The sequence below is a fragment of the Homo sapiens genome, chromosome 14 (assembly GCF_000001405.40).
Source record: "Homo sapiens chromosome 14, GRCh38.p14 Primary Assembly".
Classification (NCBI taxonomy): domain Eukaryota; kingdom Metazoa; phylum Chordata; class Mammalia; order Primates; family Hominidae; genus Homo; species Homo sapiens.
The window spans coordinates 26,807,389-26,823,214 of record NC_000014.9 but is presented as its reverse complement, the minus strand read 5'-3'; the positions used below and the strand labels follow the sequence as shown (position 1 = coordinate 26,823,214).

Sequence of the window (15,826 nt, the reverse complement as noted above, 5' to 3'; positions counted from 1 at the left end):
CAAATGCAGCCACCATCACCACTTCCAGCCGGATTACTGCCCCTAAGCTCCTTGTTGAGAGAAATTTAGGAGTTGCCAATAGTTAAAGGTATTTTAAACCAAAAATTTATTACCTAGGGAGATTTTATTTATGAATAAAGTTTCTTTCTACCACTTCAAGTGGATAAGAAGACAGAAAGAAAATAAATTGCTCTTGACATTAAAACTAGAGAAGCTAGAAAGAACCAGGACATCCCCTGCAGTTAACTTCAGCATAAGTCAAAGGAAAACATGGAGGAAACTTGTTAGGCTGATGGAATTTACCAGTTTCCTTATCTTTCTGTTTTGTGTTTTACATATTAACAGTGAGTTACTAAGGTGAATGCCATGTTAGGAAGAGAACACAATCATCATGATAGGAAGACCAGTGTATCTGCTACAATAATTTCAAACTTAATTATGAAAAATTGTAGTTTTTATTTTCTATAACTCAGTCTAATTTAACCCTAACTCCATTCTGCTCAGGAGAACAGAAACATAATTTGCCACTTCAAAGCAGTCTAGAGGATTCCTCTTCCTGTTCCCTTTCTTCTTGGTATTGTGTATAAACGCCAAGGTCACTGAGGTGAAATGTGACATGAGGTGAAAGGTGGCATCTCATCCTTCATCACTACCTGCCTATCGTGACATCCACTAAAATATATCCTCCATCTGCTTTCTGGAATTAATACCTTCATGATGATATCAATTGAGGTATACAGTTCTCATGTGGTCTCTTATCATATGATTCATGCCATGTATGCTACTGCAACTCTCCTCCAATTTGACTGGCAAAGCTATGCCAACCTTATCCAGAAAAACTATCTGTCTGTACTGTAAGTCTTGTTGGTGCATGGAGAACTGATTTAGCCGTTTCATTGTATCCTCTACTGCCAAGAAGGAACATAGAATGTTGGCAGCACAGATTTTATCTAATTGCAGATCCCTCAAATTATTAAGGGATTCCACTTTGTCCCCATCAGTTTAGAATTAACTCAAGTAAGAGAGGAGAGGGCAAGAAACACATACCAGCCTCTGGATTGCTAAACTCCTTCCTTCAGATTTAATGATCTTTCTCTAGTCTCTGGTCTAGTATAGTTTGGGAAAGAACTCCTTGTGTGTGATCATGTTTGTTTGCTTGTTTTTCTCAAATCTTGTTGTCTTATACCTGAGAACCACTTCGAATCTAAAAGGTAAGAATTTTAGGTCTATGCCTTTGTTCTGCTGTTTTCCTGAGACTGTCCTCCCTTAAAATAATGAATGCTTTCTTGTGTTGCTGCCTGGAATGAGGAAGGAAAGTACCTAGTGACACAAGGAGATGTAATGTTTAATACTTTAACACTTTGCAATACTAGTCATCAATAATAATTTTTCCAAACTTAATCATTTAACTAATGACAGCTTAGTATTAGCCTTTATGTTACATGGCTATAAAACGTCTTATAAAGATGTAGTTTGAATTTGCTTCATGTTAGATTCTCCTTTTGTTTATTTGGGAAAATAACATCTACTAATTTAAAATTTGTCACATCCAAAATTTGTGCTATAATAGTGGTAAACGATGGTGTATCAGAATTCTCTCTTAGCTATTACTGATGTGTTTAATTTACAGCATGGAAAGAGTTTAAGAGCTTAAAGAAGGAATCTTGTTATTTCTTTCAAGATATCAGTAATATTTATTCATGAATAGCCACTTGTTCTAATATTTTAAGCTAAACTGAAAATTATTCAGAATATTGTAGCTGAGGTAATTATCAAAGCTGTTTCATACCAATTACAATTTTATAGACAAGCTAACACAAGCCATTGTGCTCCTTGCCATACAGAATTCAAAAACTGAAGACAAAATTATTTTGCAAATTTATAATAAGAGTAATCCAGAACATAGTAATGAGTATTCAGAATTTTGTTGATTTATAATTTTTAAGGTAGCTTTCAGTCTCAAGCTCCTTATGTTCACTAGCAACTCCATGAAATGTGCACAATGACGTATTTTTATTTAAATGATAAGCAATTAGATTCAGAAGAGGTAAAATATTTACTTGAAGTCATGAGTCACAGATATTCAAAAGTAGAGCTAGAAATATATGATCTGAAAAATAACCCCGTAGTTTTTCTACTTATTATCCCCCTTGAAATTATGTTTGAAAATCTGGATAATGTTTTAACTGTATTTAGAGATGGGTTCTTTATATCAGCAGCACAATGTAATTAAGCATTCTTATGAAAGTTATGACAGGCCTCACAGATTGTAATTTGTAAGGCTTCGATAGATTGTCTTATTTTCTGAGTTATGTGTTATGCCGGAATAGTTTAAACAAAATATAGTTTGCTCTAATAATTCTTCCGCAGTCTTATTTACATTACTAAAAGGCTTACTAATGCATTTTTTGATATTTTGCACAGATAAACATATACCTAGTTCCTTCCTGAAATACCAGAAATTGCAAGCTTGTCAAATTGTGATTAATGAGGATTTACTGGATATCAACATATGAGTCTTCGGTAAATAATGTTTATTCTTTTTAACTCAATTGCATTATTCAACAATGAAGAACAGAGCAATGATAAATAACATGCTAACATGATAGAGATTTGAGTGAATGTTTTGTCTTCACACATCTTCAATGATTTGAACAAATTCAGAATTCATTACTGCAGTTCTTCACATAAAACTAAAGAAAAAAAAGATCAGTTCAATTTCTAAGAGCCAGATATTGGAATTACTTGAAACAGGCTTGCGGTAGCTGTTCTCTGGGGAGAATAGTTGTTAACTCAATAGAATCAAGTCCTGAGATGGAGGGGGAGAAAAACAAACCAATCAAGGCTAATGGTTCCTGATGAACCCAGATTAAACACAGAGATTGGTCTGGTTTAAATATACTCAAGGGAACAGTCCTTCAGCTAAGAGTATCAATTTTCACTCTGGGTCAATAGGATGAAGAGTGTGTGGTTAAAAATCAGATATTGCAAATGTATACAGCTTGAGTCAGGATGCCTGTTGGGGGTAAAAAGAACACTTGGCAATCAGAAGAAAACCTGAAAGTACATGAAGAATTATAATGAATATAGTCAAATAAAAAAATATTAAATTTAACAAGATAATTTCTAAAATACTTAAAAATAAATATGCAGAAGCCAGTAACTTGCATATATATATATATCAATATCTTCAAAGATTAAAAAGAACTATATGAACAACATAAAAATACTTATGCATAATATTTAGGATTAAAGTGAAGAAAACCTCAGAAGTATTGAATAATATAAGCACTTGAATAGAGACATTACCATACATAAGTTTAAATGTTGTAAAGATTTAAGACATTTCTACAAATTAATGTTTAGATTTAAAGCAAATCTAATCAAAATCCCAATTTTTTACTTATAAAATAATACTAAAATTTAATTTATCAAAACATGTATTGAAAAAAGGCAAATAAATTAAGAGATTTTACTATAAGGATGTTCAATGCAGCACTGTTTAAAATAGAGAAAGATGTAATTGTTTAAATAAATAAATTACACTGCATCTGAACTTTATGATTTTGTAGGCAAGTTATTTTCTTACAATAATTTGTTAGATAAGTTACAAAATGGTATGTATGTTATAATAATGATTTTTATTTTGAAAACACTCTGGAAATATATATATATATATATAATACATATATATTTACATATAGGAAAAAAAAAGTTTGAAACTCTCACTGCTCCTACCTAGGGGCAGATAAATCTCCCAAGACGGGAATGAAGAGGGCAATTTCATGATCTTATTTGAGGAACACTCCTTGAGCAACCTCCACCTTTCATAACTGGCCCCATCCATGCATTGCTATGTTTTCTCTTCAATCTGATTCTTGATAATTTTTTTCAAGGGAATAATTATAATTTTTCCCCACTGCTTTTACCAACATGTTTATGTATATGTATGCATTTATTCATTTTATAATATCTTCCATTGCTAAGTTTTTGAAGCTGGAAAGGAAAGCTACAGTATGCATTTATTCTGTAATCTTGACACAAAATTGGAGAAATTTTGGCAATGGCAGTCAAGACTGCCTTATCTCTGTGTTTGCAGTGTTCATGATTGGGTGGTGGAATTATGAATGCTTTTTATTTTCTTTGTTTGAGTAAATCCATGCTATCCAAATTATTCACTCTTGGCATATATTGTTTTACAATCATAAAATCTATACTATTTGTTTCTGTTTTTAATATCTCTAATAATATCTGGTAAAATGAAGAAAAATTAAAAGTATTTTTGAAATAAAAATGAAGAAAAATTAAAAGTAGTTTTGAAATACTTTCACTTTTATTGTCTTAGACCACTTATAGAAAGAAAGTGGACATTTTCTAGTAAGAAATACACTTAAACAAGTTTGAATTAAACTCAAGTATTTAAGACTAACTTACTGTTCACTTGAATTCCATTTTATCAACCCTCTTATGCATCCTAGTTTAATATAAGTAGAGGATATGTTTTCAACTCTCTAAAAAAAAAATTCCACAGAGATTGTGTTAACTGCACACAGTATTAGAGGATAATCTCTTTGAGGATAAACACTGTGTCAAATGCATTTTTATACCCTTCATTGCGGCTAGCATAGGGCCTTACACAAGCACACAATGAAACACACAAGTAGTTAAGACTGACTTAAGATCCACTTCAACCCCATTTTATCAATCACATCCTAGTTTGATATATTTAGAGGATATGTTTTCAATTCTCTAAAAATATTTTAAAGATGTCTGAAAATAATATATATCATGTTGAAAATAATAAATTCGGGATATATGTTGCTCTTATTTATTATAAGGTCTCTGGTTTATTATCTTAAAAAAAAACTCTGTGACAATATACATATGCTTCCATGAATCATTATATGCTTGAGATCTAACTGATTCCAGTATTCGACTTTTTACTTTTAGGAACATTCTCCTATCATTATTTCAGAAAGGAGAATGACCTTGACCTTATAAGCATAGAGAATCAAGTAGAACTGACTAGCATATAGTGCTATTGTCTTTTTATGTATTGAAAAGATACGCATTTTTTTTAGTCCCCAAAAGGGGTCAAAATAAATGTGGAAAGCTGGTTATTGGTCTCAGATTAGAGTCATGTCTTCCCAAAGGGCATTCAAACTAGACCATTAAGAAAAATGGGTTACTGGGACAAAAATTATCATAAGATGATATACACCTACATAGGATTCCAAGGGACTTCTGTGTTCTATCAGGGCTCTGAAAATATGCAATATGAATGAACTAGAACCTGTAACCTATCCTCTATTTATTTTGTTGAACTGGGTTTACTAAAAAAATTAAAAGTTTGTATCTGCTGAAAATATGTACATTCTACATAGGGTTCCAGCAAGTATGAGGAAAAAAAAAATCTAATTTGACTGGACTGCTGATTGATTTCCTAAAGTCCCATTGCTTTCGATTTCTCAGTGATGACATACTTCCCTGCAGTCAATATGCATCTCTTAATTTGTTTGCAGGAAAGTTGGCCTCTTTTGCCTTCTCAAATCACACTTTGTAATCAATGGCTATGTTCTAAATAGAATTCAGAAATGTCTTTAGAAATTGAGGGCAGTTTCAATAAATTATTTTTAGCCTGCTCTCCCTCTAGGAACTTATTATTACCATAGCATAGCAGTGAATTATGTTTTTTTCCTTACATCTGCAAACCAACACACATTCTACTACAATCGTCCAGGATTTATAGAGCAGCCACATGCTATGAATAGATTTTGTTCAATAAAATCTATTCCCAATTCACTTCTTAGAAACATGCCATATTTACATGATTCTTGTAATATTTCAAAACAGAAATTAACACTTCAGTCACTTGGCCTATTAAATAAATTTCCAATATCTGCATGTGGAACAAAGTCTTAATTTTTAGGAAACCAAGAGACTTCTAATACTATTAAAACATCCAGGATGAGTAAGATACTCAGGCTTGGGGATTTGAAGTCAAAACTAAATTACAGTAATAAGTAATAATTACACCTTAGAGTAAGCTATTTCATTTATATTTGAGTGATTGCTGTTCCACAAGACAGGTTATCTTTCTCAGAGACTGGTTAGTTTATTACACTATCATTTATTTGAAGTACTATATATTCATACCATTTCACTTACCACTGGTGAGATAAACCTCAGAAGCAGATGACCTACATAAGGTCATCTGAGTATAGATTTCTGAACTTGAATACTGCATCTTAAGAAGTCATCATTCTTGATTTGTCTATTCTACAAAAATTTCGACCTATAAACAACAACAAATGCCACAACCTTAAAATCCTACAATAACAGTGGAAGGAGATTCTACATTAATGTTTAGCAACAATACATTCAAATAGTTAATCCATTTGGGCAAAAGACACAAGTAAAGAAACAATCAAAGCCAAAAGCAGAATAAAGATACTACCAGAACTGTTATTAAAGTTGTGGTTCAAGGCTTTCAATAAGGTCACTTAAGGTAGGTCATAGAGTTCACTAAGACTGAGGCTAAGCTATAGAGCCGGTGCTGATGACATACATTTATGGTTCATTCACTCACTGACAAACCCAATGCTATCTATGCACCATTACTGACTGAGGGACTGTTCTTAAAGGTGGGATACAGTAGTGAAAAACATAGACAAAGTCCTTCTTCTCAGGCTGTCATGGCTTTTCCATTATAGATGAAGCCAAGGAGGAGGAGGAGCTCCTCAACTGATAGATAGATAGATAGATAGATAGATAGATAGATAGATAGATAGACCTAAGGTAGTGATAAGTGCTATGAGGAAAAAGCAATATATCACATTCTCAAACGACCATATTGTACCACATCTCTTGAAAATATACATTAAAACAGCTTCAGTACAACATTGTTAGAATTAAAAAACAAGAAAACAACTTTTCAGGGGATAATTCATATACATACTTATACAAGTAACTTCTCTGAACTTACTAGTAGCAGGATTAGTGTAAGACCTAGCATTTTCTTAATTCTAGGCTTGTGCTTAGATGTATGCCTTAGCTTTCAGCTTTCATTAGCCATAGGTTACATTTAACTTTAAGGATTATAGTATTACCTTAAGAAGAGTATTAGAATAAAATTCAGTAAATGAGGATTCTAGAGATTCAAGAGATCATGGGCAAATCTTAATCTCTTTGTGTTGGTTTCCTCCAACTAACAAATGTGGATAAGCTTTTTCAAATACATATAGAGGAGTATTTGTGAATTTCTATCCGATTCAATTCCTAATATACCAGCTACTGTGACAAGCATGGGGGTTCATCAAGGAAGACAAACACTAAATAATTCATTATACATGTTAGAAAAGTGGAGACCTACCCATTTTTTGGAGAAGATAAGCCACAATAAAATTTGAGCTTATGCTCAAAGGGTGAGCAAACATTAGTGTGTATACTAAGTAGCATATTTGAATTCTTTGAGGTTCCCTGGAAGAAAGACAATCAGTATTTGTCTAACAGTAGTGAAAGTCACATTATTATAATTTCATATCAGAAGATATAGAATAATCCCCAAATCTCAAATAAATATTATATATGAAAAGAAATGAAGTCTTGGTGGTTAATAGGCTCCTCACTAAATTTCTGAATAAAATGTGGCCCAACCGATTAAAACTTTAGGGCATGGCTAAATCTTACAGGTATTTTCAGAATGAGTTATTAACCTTCTCCCTGTTTCCTCCTTAGTTTCTCATTTTTTACGTTCTTCAGTCTCTCTTTTCATTTCATTACAAACAATCACACTAGTTACTAAACAGCATAGTCAAGATAAAGTGGCCCCTGAAATTATTCATCTTGCACTGAAGTCATTGAGAAGCCAGTGAATAAGCTGTAAGCAGTTTTCCCTCCAGAAGCCATCTGGTTATAAGGGAAAAGGTGAAACATTAATTTCTCTATGAACTTTGTTTTTAAAAACAAATCTTCATAAATTGTATAAGGTTGATCACTACAGTAAAAATGCCCTTTAATTTGACTTAAATATCAAGTTTTGGTGATGAATCCTTATACACATATTATAGTGATAGAACAAAGAAATAAGATTTCCAGAGCTCACAATAGCTACATCAATTTTCCATTAAAAGCTTCAGAATTTAGCTGATCTCATTTAGTAATAACCTAATTAGTGAAGGTAAGGAAATAATAACATGCATCAATCTATTATCTTTTTTATATAAATTATATAATGAAATTAATTTACAGCCATAAGAATGCAGGTTATAAATGACTCTGATAATGTATTAACACACTAGAAACCCAATTGAACCTGTAAGTACATATTTCTTCACTGAAATTGCTCAAAATCCATTCATCAAATTGTTTCATCTAAATTCGTTTCCCACTGGTAAGGAGAAAAGGGGGCAGAAGAAGAAAGACGAGAGAGAGGTGGGAATGAAGGGATTCCTGATGTTACAGTCCTGTGCCAAATTTTAAGCTTTTCAAATACCTAACAGAAAAAAAAAAACCTTCTAGTATGTTGTCATACTAAACACAACGAATGATGGCTCTTGTCCCCAGTTTCAGTTAAGTGCTAAGAAATACAATTCATGACCTTATTTTTGTGTATTTGTTTTTCTACAAGAGCTCCAAAGAGCCAAAGCTTGGCGTTGTTCCTCTTATCAACCTTATTTGCATTTATGTTTTGGAATAAGAATTTTATGATACAAAATTCTCAATATGCACCTGATGGCCTTTTGAATTCTCCCAACTAAAAACTGACGTATCTCCGAAAAAAAAAAAAAAAATCCAGTTCATCAGACCATATGCCGCAATTATTTTATCTTCTCAAAACTAATCTTTTTTTTTGTCATAAAGTCACTGGACAGTTTCTATATATTCTGAAATAACATCTACTGCATGCCTCCTTAAATATTTCACTTTCTGTAGAAGTAGAGAGCAGAAGAGAAGGAATATTAGAAGCACTGTGAAACTCTAAGTCAAAGACGGGTGTTTTGTTGTTGTTGTTTTGGTTGGTATGACATTTAACAAGTCCAGAAAAACGAAAGATCTCTCCTTCAAGAGAACATCCTACATAAGTAGCCACAGTGAACCTCTCCCTGATGACCCCTCAAGAAAGAACAATTGCCAAGTGTCTGTATGTAGGCCAAAAGGTCTATCTCAACATTCAAATTATTTGAAATATGCATTATTTTAATATTCATGTGAAATTTTCATTTTACTTCCTTAAATAAATATCAACTTATTTTCATTTATTAAAAATTCCTGGCCAGGCACTGTGGCTCATGTCTGTAATCCCAGCACTTTGGAAGGCCGAGGCAGGTGGATCACCTAAGGTCAGGAGTTTGAGACCAGCCTGGCTAACATGGTGAAACCCCATCTCTACTAAAAATACAAAAATTAGCCAGGCATGGTGGTGGATAACTGTAATCCCAGGTACTTGGGAGGCTGAGGCAGGAGAATCACTTGAACCCAGGAGGTGGAGGTTGCAGCGAGCCAAGATCACGCCATTGCACCCCAGCCTGGGCGACAAGAGCAAAACTCCTTCTCAAAAAAAAAAAAAAAAAAAAAAAAAAAACATCCCAGGTAATATTTCAGCCCCACACCACCACATGCTCCCAGGGGGATCTATAACCAAGTATGAGATGCATAAATAAAGCTGACCTTCTGGATGAGGTATACTAGCTTATAGAAAACTATTAAATGCATGCTCTAATTGACCTTAAGAGGTTATATAGTCAAACCACTGTTTCTAGGTAAGATTATATTTCGTCTAAACGCAACGATCTACTTTCTATTTGAAAATCTCCAGAAGGGGAGGTAACATATCTTAGTATGTTTTAAATTATAGTACTCAAAAACTATTCAAATCTAAAAATTCCCTTTCTCAGTGATAAGTCATCTATTCATTTCCACCCTAGGTTGCAATGAAGGACAGCTATTAACTATTACTACCTCATCATTATTATCTTTTAATATTAGAAGCTCAAGAAAGTTACATTTTGTTAAGAAAAAGCTGATTTTTACTCAGAACTGTGCAAGACCTATGAAATGATAATAGCAGTAAAAATAGCAATAGATTTGAAACTCCATCTACAATACCTCTGCAAGCTCAGGGGGACAGAGAAACTAAGGCATTGTCCCATCCAAGGTCATGCAGAATTAAAAAAAAAAAAAAAGAGTCAATGGGAAGCCAATCCAGGACTTTCAGTCTCCTGTTCTTACTGCTTCAATAGCCTCACCATCATTAAGTTCTTTTTCATTCAGGTTAGACAGAGTCCTATGGGATTCATTCCCCCTTGTGTGTGTTGCTTGGCTGAGCCATACATTTCTATTGGCCCTATTGATTAGGCATCTGCTTCCTCTGTGAGGATAGTTTGCTCTTGTGGAACTGTGTTTAGCAGCTGTTACAGTTCAGATGAGTGTTGACAGGATGAAAATTAAATTAACACCCAATAACATTTTAACACCTGGTCCAACAACTGCAATATCATTGAATTTCACCTTTTCAAAATTGCTTCGGGAGTTAATTCATCCTTACTTTGACTTTGACCTGAGGAGACATTCCTGTAATTTTGCCACAAAAGACTCTCTCCTGACTGTTCATTTATAATTTCCATGAACCTCTCTCTGATCCATGTTTAGTGACTGCATGGCCAGTTTTTGGAAAATACACAGGATAAATATCCTATTGGAAGATGTGCCACCCTCTTGATTACAGCTAAAGAATGAGCACAGACAAAAACGTTAACCATAAAGAAGTTGTGTTTCACTGTAGCATAAGCCAGATTGGTGGGCAAGTAACCATCTTACCAGGGAAAATGAAGTCAGAAAGAATACAGGTTTCACACACTTGTGACTCTCTCAGTCTTGATCGGCTTGTGAATAATGTTGGAAGGAGGATGTAAAGCACTGTTTTGAAGCCAGTGGACTCTGAAGTTGGTCGGCCTGGTTGAAAACTTCACCTTGGCTGCTCCCTAAACACATGACATTGTGTAAAATACTTCAATGGTTAAGCCTCACTTTCTTCATAAAATGCAACTAACAATGGTGTCTATTATGCAGGATTATTTTGATGATTATACAATCCACGTAAAACTCTTAAAGTGCTAGTGCCCGAGAAGGTCCTAAGTAAGCCTATTTACCATATTATTTCACAGTCCCTGAACTGAAAGGGAGCTTTGAGATCATTTAATCTTGCCCTCTCATTTTACATTAAGCAAGAACAAGGAGGTTCAGCAATTTCTCAAGGATGTTTATTTTTGTAGTTAGAGCTGAGAAACAACCCAGGTTTCCTCATCAGAACTTTTATTTTCTTTTTATAAGACTGCCAACTTCTATTTTAATAGGTTATTTATTTAGAAAAGATTCTGTGTCCATGCTATGTGATTTATCCACTTAAGCTCCTTTTGTGTTTATCTTTCTCCTCTGGGAGGTGGAAATGGTGTTACTTGCTATTGGCCAGAGTTTTAAGAGGCATAGATAATAAAAATATCATACTACCATTTGCTGTTTAGAATTTCTATCAGATGCTAGGTGCCCTGTCAAAGATAAATATAGCACAGTACCTAACTTACAAGAAAGCAAGAAAAAAATGTTATCACACCACCACATAAAAAACACAGTGTATTAACAATTGTTAGAAAATGATAATCCATTTTGTAGATTTTCCAGGATCATTATGTCTTTTCTTATTTTTGTTGCCTTCAATTTTATTGCTAATTATATTGGTACAGAAGGAGGACTAGCAGAAGGGAGAATTGCATTTTTTAATTTGGGTAGTGTTGCACATATTAACAATTATTTTGGCAAATGTTTTGTATTTCTAGAGATTGATATTTTAAGCTGTAATGAGATTTTAGGATTAACTCTAACTTGTATTTATCTATTTTTCCCACCTGCCTTTTCCCCAATGAAAAGTAACACTGACTCAAGAGTTTTTCTTTTTGTATTATGATAGATTATCCACCCCCAACTTTTTTTCTTTTCGTCCTAAATGTATAGTAGTGATAAAATAGGCACAATTTGCAAAATACAATTTGGGGGTGATAATTACTTTCACACGTGATACTTTTAAAAAATAATCTTAATTATTTTAAATAAAACATTCCAATCCTTAATTATTAAACTTGCAAAATTCAATGTAAGCATTAGTTTCTCAGAAAAATGCATTTTGTAAAATGAGGTATAATTTCATGACCAAAAAAAATGACAGATGGGAGGGGAGGGTGTGAGGATTTTTACTATTCTAACCAGCTAGTATGAGAAAAGCAGTTCTCCAGAAGTACAAATCAAATGGTGGGAAGTATTGAATGTTTTCAAAATGTTATATAATTGCTTAATTGCCTCACTCTCCTAAATGGTTCCCTGTGTCCCCTCAGGCAAATAAAGCCTTCATTACCCTAACTGTAGAAGGGATCTAATCACTCTGGAGAGAATATGCATATAATTTGAAATATATAAGCATTAATGATATAATAATGTGCTCAGCAACAGGTATATCACTGATTCCATCTATATTTCCCAGATAAAGGAATATGTATCTGGAGAAAGGTGTATTTTTCACTAAAAATAATGAGACTGATAACAGTTTAAAATTATTTTTAGTTATCTAAGCATGCATTTAAAACAGGAAGACAAGTTATGATTCTCGAATTCTCATAGATATGATAGTGTCTTTTATCAATCTTTTGCAGAACTAATTACTAAGCATCTAAAAGTACTCATACTAATACTAATATAGTCACACTATGGTCAGGATTAATATTTTAGTGTTGTATGAAGAATGAGAAAAGATAATCTTTACAGACCTAAAATATGTTTGAGCATTTTTAAGAGCCTTGGCAGCCAGTGACGCTTTGCTTTTGAATATTTTAATTATTCTTTACTACAGTAAGATATGGTAATCTGGGGAAAAAAATATTGTTTTCCTAGGAGAAAGAGAAGCAAAAAAAAAAAAGAAGTGGAATAGAAATCAGGAAAACTTCTCATCTATGTCATTGCCAATATATAGAGTTATCAAGTAATAATTCATAAAATCATAGAACTGGAAGAAATCTTAGTGTTCCATTCAGTCCACACTCATGCCTCCTGGAAGTTAAGTAGAAAATAAGAAAAAAAGGAAAAACAACTATAGACTCTTGAATAAAAATCAGCAGCTCGGCCAGGCACAGTGTCTCATGTCTGTAATCCTAGCACTTTGGGAGGCCAAGGTGGGCAGATCACCTGAGGTAGGGAGTTTGAGAGCAGCCTGGCCAACACAGTAAAATCTCGTCTCTACTAAAAATACAAAAATTAGCCCAGCGTGGTGGTGGGTGCCTGTAATCCCAGCTACTCGGGAGGCTGAGGCAGGAGAATCACTGGAACCCAGGAGGTGGAGGTTGCAGTGAGCCGAGATCATGCCACTGCACTCCAGCCTGGGTGACAGAGTGAGACTCTGTCTCATACAAAACAAAACAAAACAAAAAACAAAACAAAAAAACCCAGCCGCTCATCAACCTCTGATACTATTTAAAAATATTCATGATAGTTTTGGCAACCAAAGCAGGTAGAGCTCCTTTTTTGCCACTTCATCAGACATAAAATTAACAGTAATAATAATAATAATAAATTAATTAAAATACCAGAGAAACACAACTCAGCATACTGGGGATCATCTGACGGGAACACTTTATTTTACAGATAAGATGACCATCCCCTGTAAATTGTGGCACGTGTTCTCCATGGCTACATAGATAGAAAAAACAAGATGCAAATGGAGGGACATTACCTGGCAGGCCAACATCCGTTTTAGGACACCAAGGTAGTAATCAAGCTTGCTCTATTATTAGCTATTAACACTTAAGTGGTAGCAGAAACTAACAGGAGTCTGAAAATTCTAGAACTTTTAGTTTATTTGACAAAGGGAATCATGATCTCGGCCTCTAGGGCATCTCAGATGTGGCACGGAAGTCATTTATTTTGATGTCTACCAGCCTCTCTTCCAGCACTCTGACCTGCTACAGATGACTGCTAATAACTATACCCAAATAAAAAAACGTTTGGAAGGGAAAGTTCAAATGTACAGATTTGGTACAAATATATATTAGCAGGAAAATTACATATGTATATATCTGGTGGAAAATTAATCAAAATATTATTTATTACAGATATATATATATATATATATATAGCTAATGTACTATTTGACATAACCTATGGTCATTATTGAAATTCTTTAGATCTGTTCTTTGGGTATTCTATAAGAAGGTTAAGATTCGTAATGTTCGCCACCATCTCAATAGATTTTTTAGATATTTTTCTGATTTTACTTTTAATACAAACCACTATTAAGACAAGAAACAAGCCAACAAACAAATACATTTCCCATGGTAACTGGAACTCATTCTCTATACCACAGATCACCAAGAAAGCAAAGTGTATTCCATCTGCATGACAGTTTAGGCTGTGAATACCAAGAATATAATGTTATGACCTAAGAAATCTGAGGTGAGAATGTTCTTTAAAACAGTCTTGACAGATACACATAATCAAGATGTCATATTGCTGTGGCATACCATACCCACATCCATGTGAAACACAACCTGTAGAAGAAAACAACAGGAAAAGACAGAGTCATTCCTTGGCCGATACCTTATACATTGCATCACCACCAAATGTTAAGTAAACAAGAAAGCAGATTTTAACCAGGGGGGTAAAAGTCCTTTATCTAGAGATCTTTATTTAAAGTTTTATTACAAACTGGGAAAAACAAATGTAATTATATTTGCTCTCAGAGAGGGATCAGGCTTAATACATTTATATAAATGTAGCCTTCCTAAGAAAATAGATATTTAAGCTTTGGTTCCTGGGAGTTCCTAAAACTGAGGATGAAGGGAAATTGCCTTTGGAATCAGTTACACACCCAGAATGAGCTTCAAGATGAACTAAGGGAATAGGAAGAAAAAACAAATATAACCTATCACTGAAACTATATTAAGTTTATATAACATTGTCATCTAATGAAAAATGTTATGAATTGAAATTTATTTGATTTATTGACTATACTTAAAACATACAATTATTCAAAATATTTCCCATCTGAGCTATTAGTATTTTGTAGAAAGAATGTTTCCAAATATTTAAAAAACAATCACATTCTTAATAAGCTCACAAATTATACTACAATTATTGCAAAAAGTTAATAGATAAATGTGGGCTGGTAACTTACTTTTACAGAAATAACAAAAGTAAGCTCAGATAGTCTCCATATTACAGTAAAGACTCTTCCATAATTGAAACGCAAATGCTTTTACTTACAAACACATGCAGTGAATGTTGATTAGGGACTTTGGGTGTATTTAACCTGTAATGAGGGCTGATGCAGTTAAGACTTGCCCTAGACAGGACACAAAAAGTTCAACAGCGCAATTCCATGACTGAAACAAAGATGGAGTTTCATCATTCAAGGAGAATGCTCATAGATTTAGCCATTATTGATATGTACCTAGATGTTAACTCTTTCTTAAAGCTAAGTAGTCCATTTCTAACTTGTCTTCTAATATGATCTCATCTCAGAATCTACATGACTTTAAATTTAAAAATTCTTATTGAAATAACTTCACTTCTCTATATTTATTCAATTTCTCTCACTCCTATTCTCAGGTGAGGTGATAATCCCATATTCACCATCTTCAAAACAATTTATTTTTTTTTTTTTTTGAGACAAAGTCTCACTCTATTGCCTAGGCTGGAGTGAAGTGGCGTGATCTCGGCTCACTGCAACCTCCACCTCCCAGGTTCAAGCGATTCTCCTGCCTCGGCCTCCCTAGTAGCTGGGGTT

At 33.6% G+C, this 15,826-nt stretch overlaps 2 long non-coding RNA genes across 3 annotated transcripts in view; one reads left to right on the top strand and one right to left on the bottom strand.

Moving 5' to 3' along the window:
• The first annotated feature begins 1,094 nt into the window (after positions 1–1,094).
• Positions 1,095–15,826, top strand: part of LINC02294 (long intergenic non-protein coding RNA 2294) — a 46,626-nt gene continuing 31,894 nt past the window's right edge. Inside the window, exons 1-3 of the long non-coding RNA NR_110033.1 lie at positions 1,095–1,211; positions 2,425–2,523; positions 14,405–14,493. This is a non-coding gene — a long non-coding RNA (long intergenic non-protein coding RNA 2294). The remainder of the gene's footprint in view (positions 1,212–2,424; positions 2,524–14,404; positions 14,494–15,826) is intronic.
• On the bottom strand, positions 2,512–13,867 carry LINC02293 (long intergenic non-protein coding RNA 2293). Of its 2 annotated transcripts, none has more exons than NR_110557.1 (5): positions 13,775–13,867; positions 10,819–10,982; positions 7,373–7,479; positions 6,169–6,295; positions 2,512–2,693 (listed from the first exon to the last, which is right to left on the bottom strand). It is a non-coding gene; the product is annotated as a long intergenic non-protein coding RNA 2293 (long non-coding RNA). The 2 variants fall into 2 exon arrangements; NR_110556.1 differs by lacking the exon at positions 7,373–7,479 and adding an exon at positions 4,435–4,511.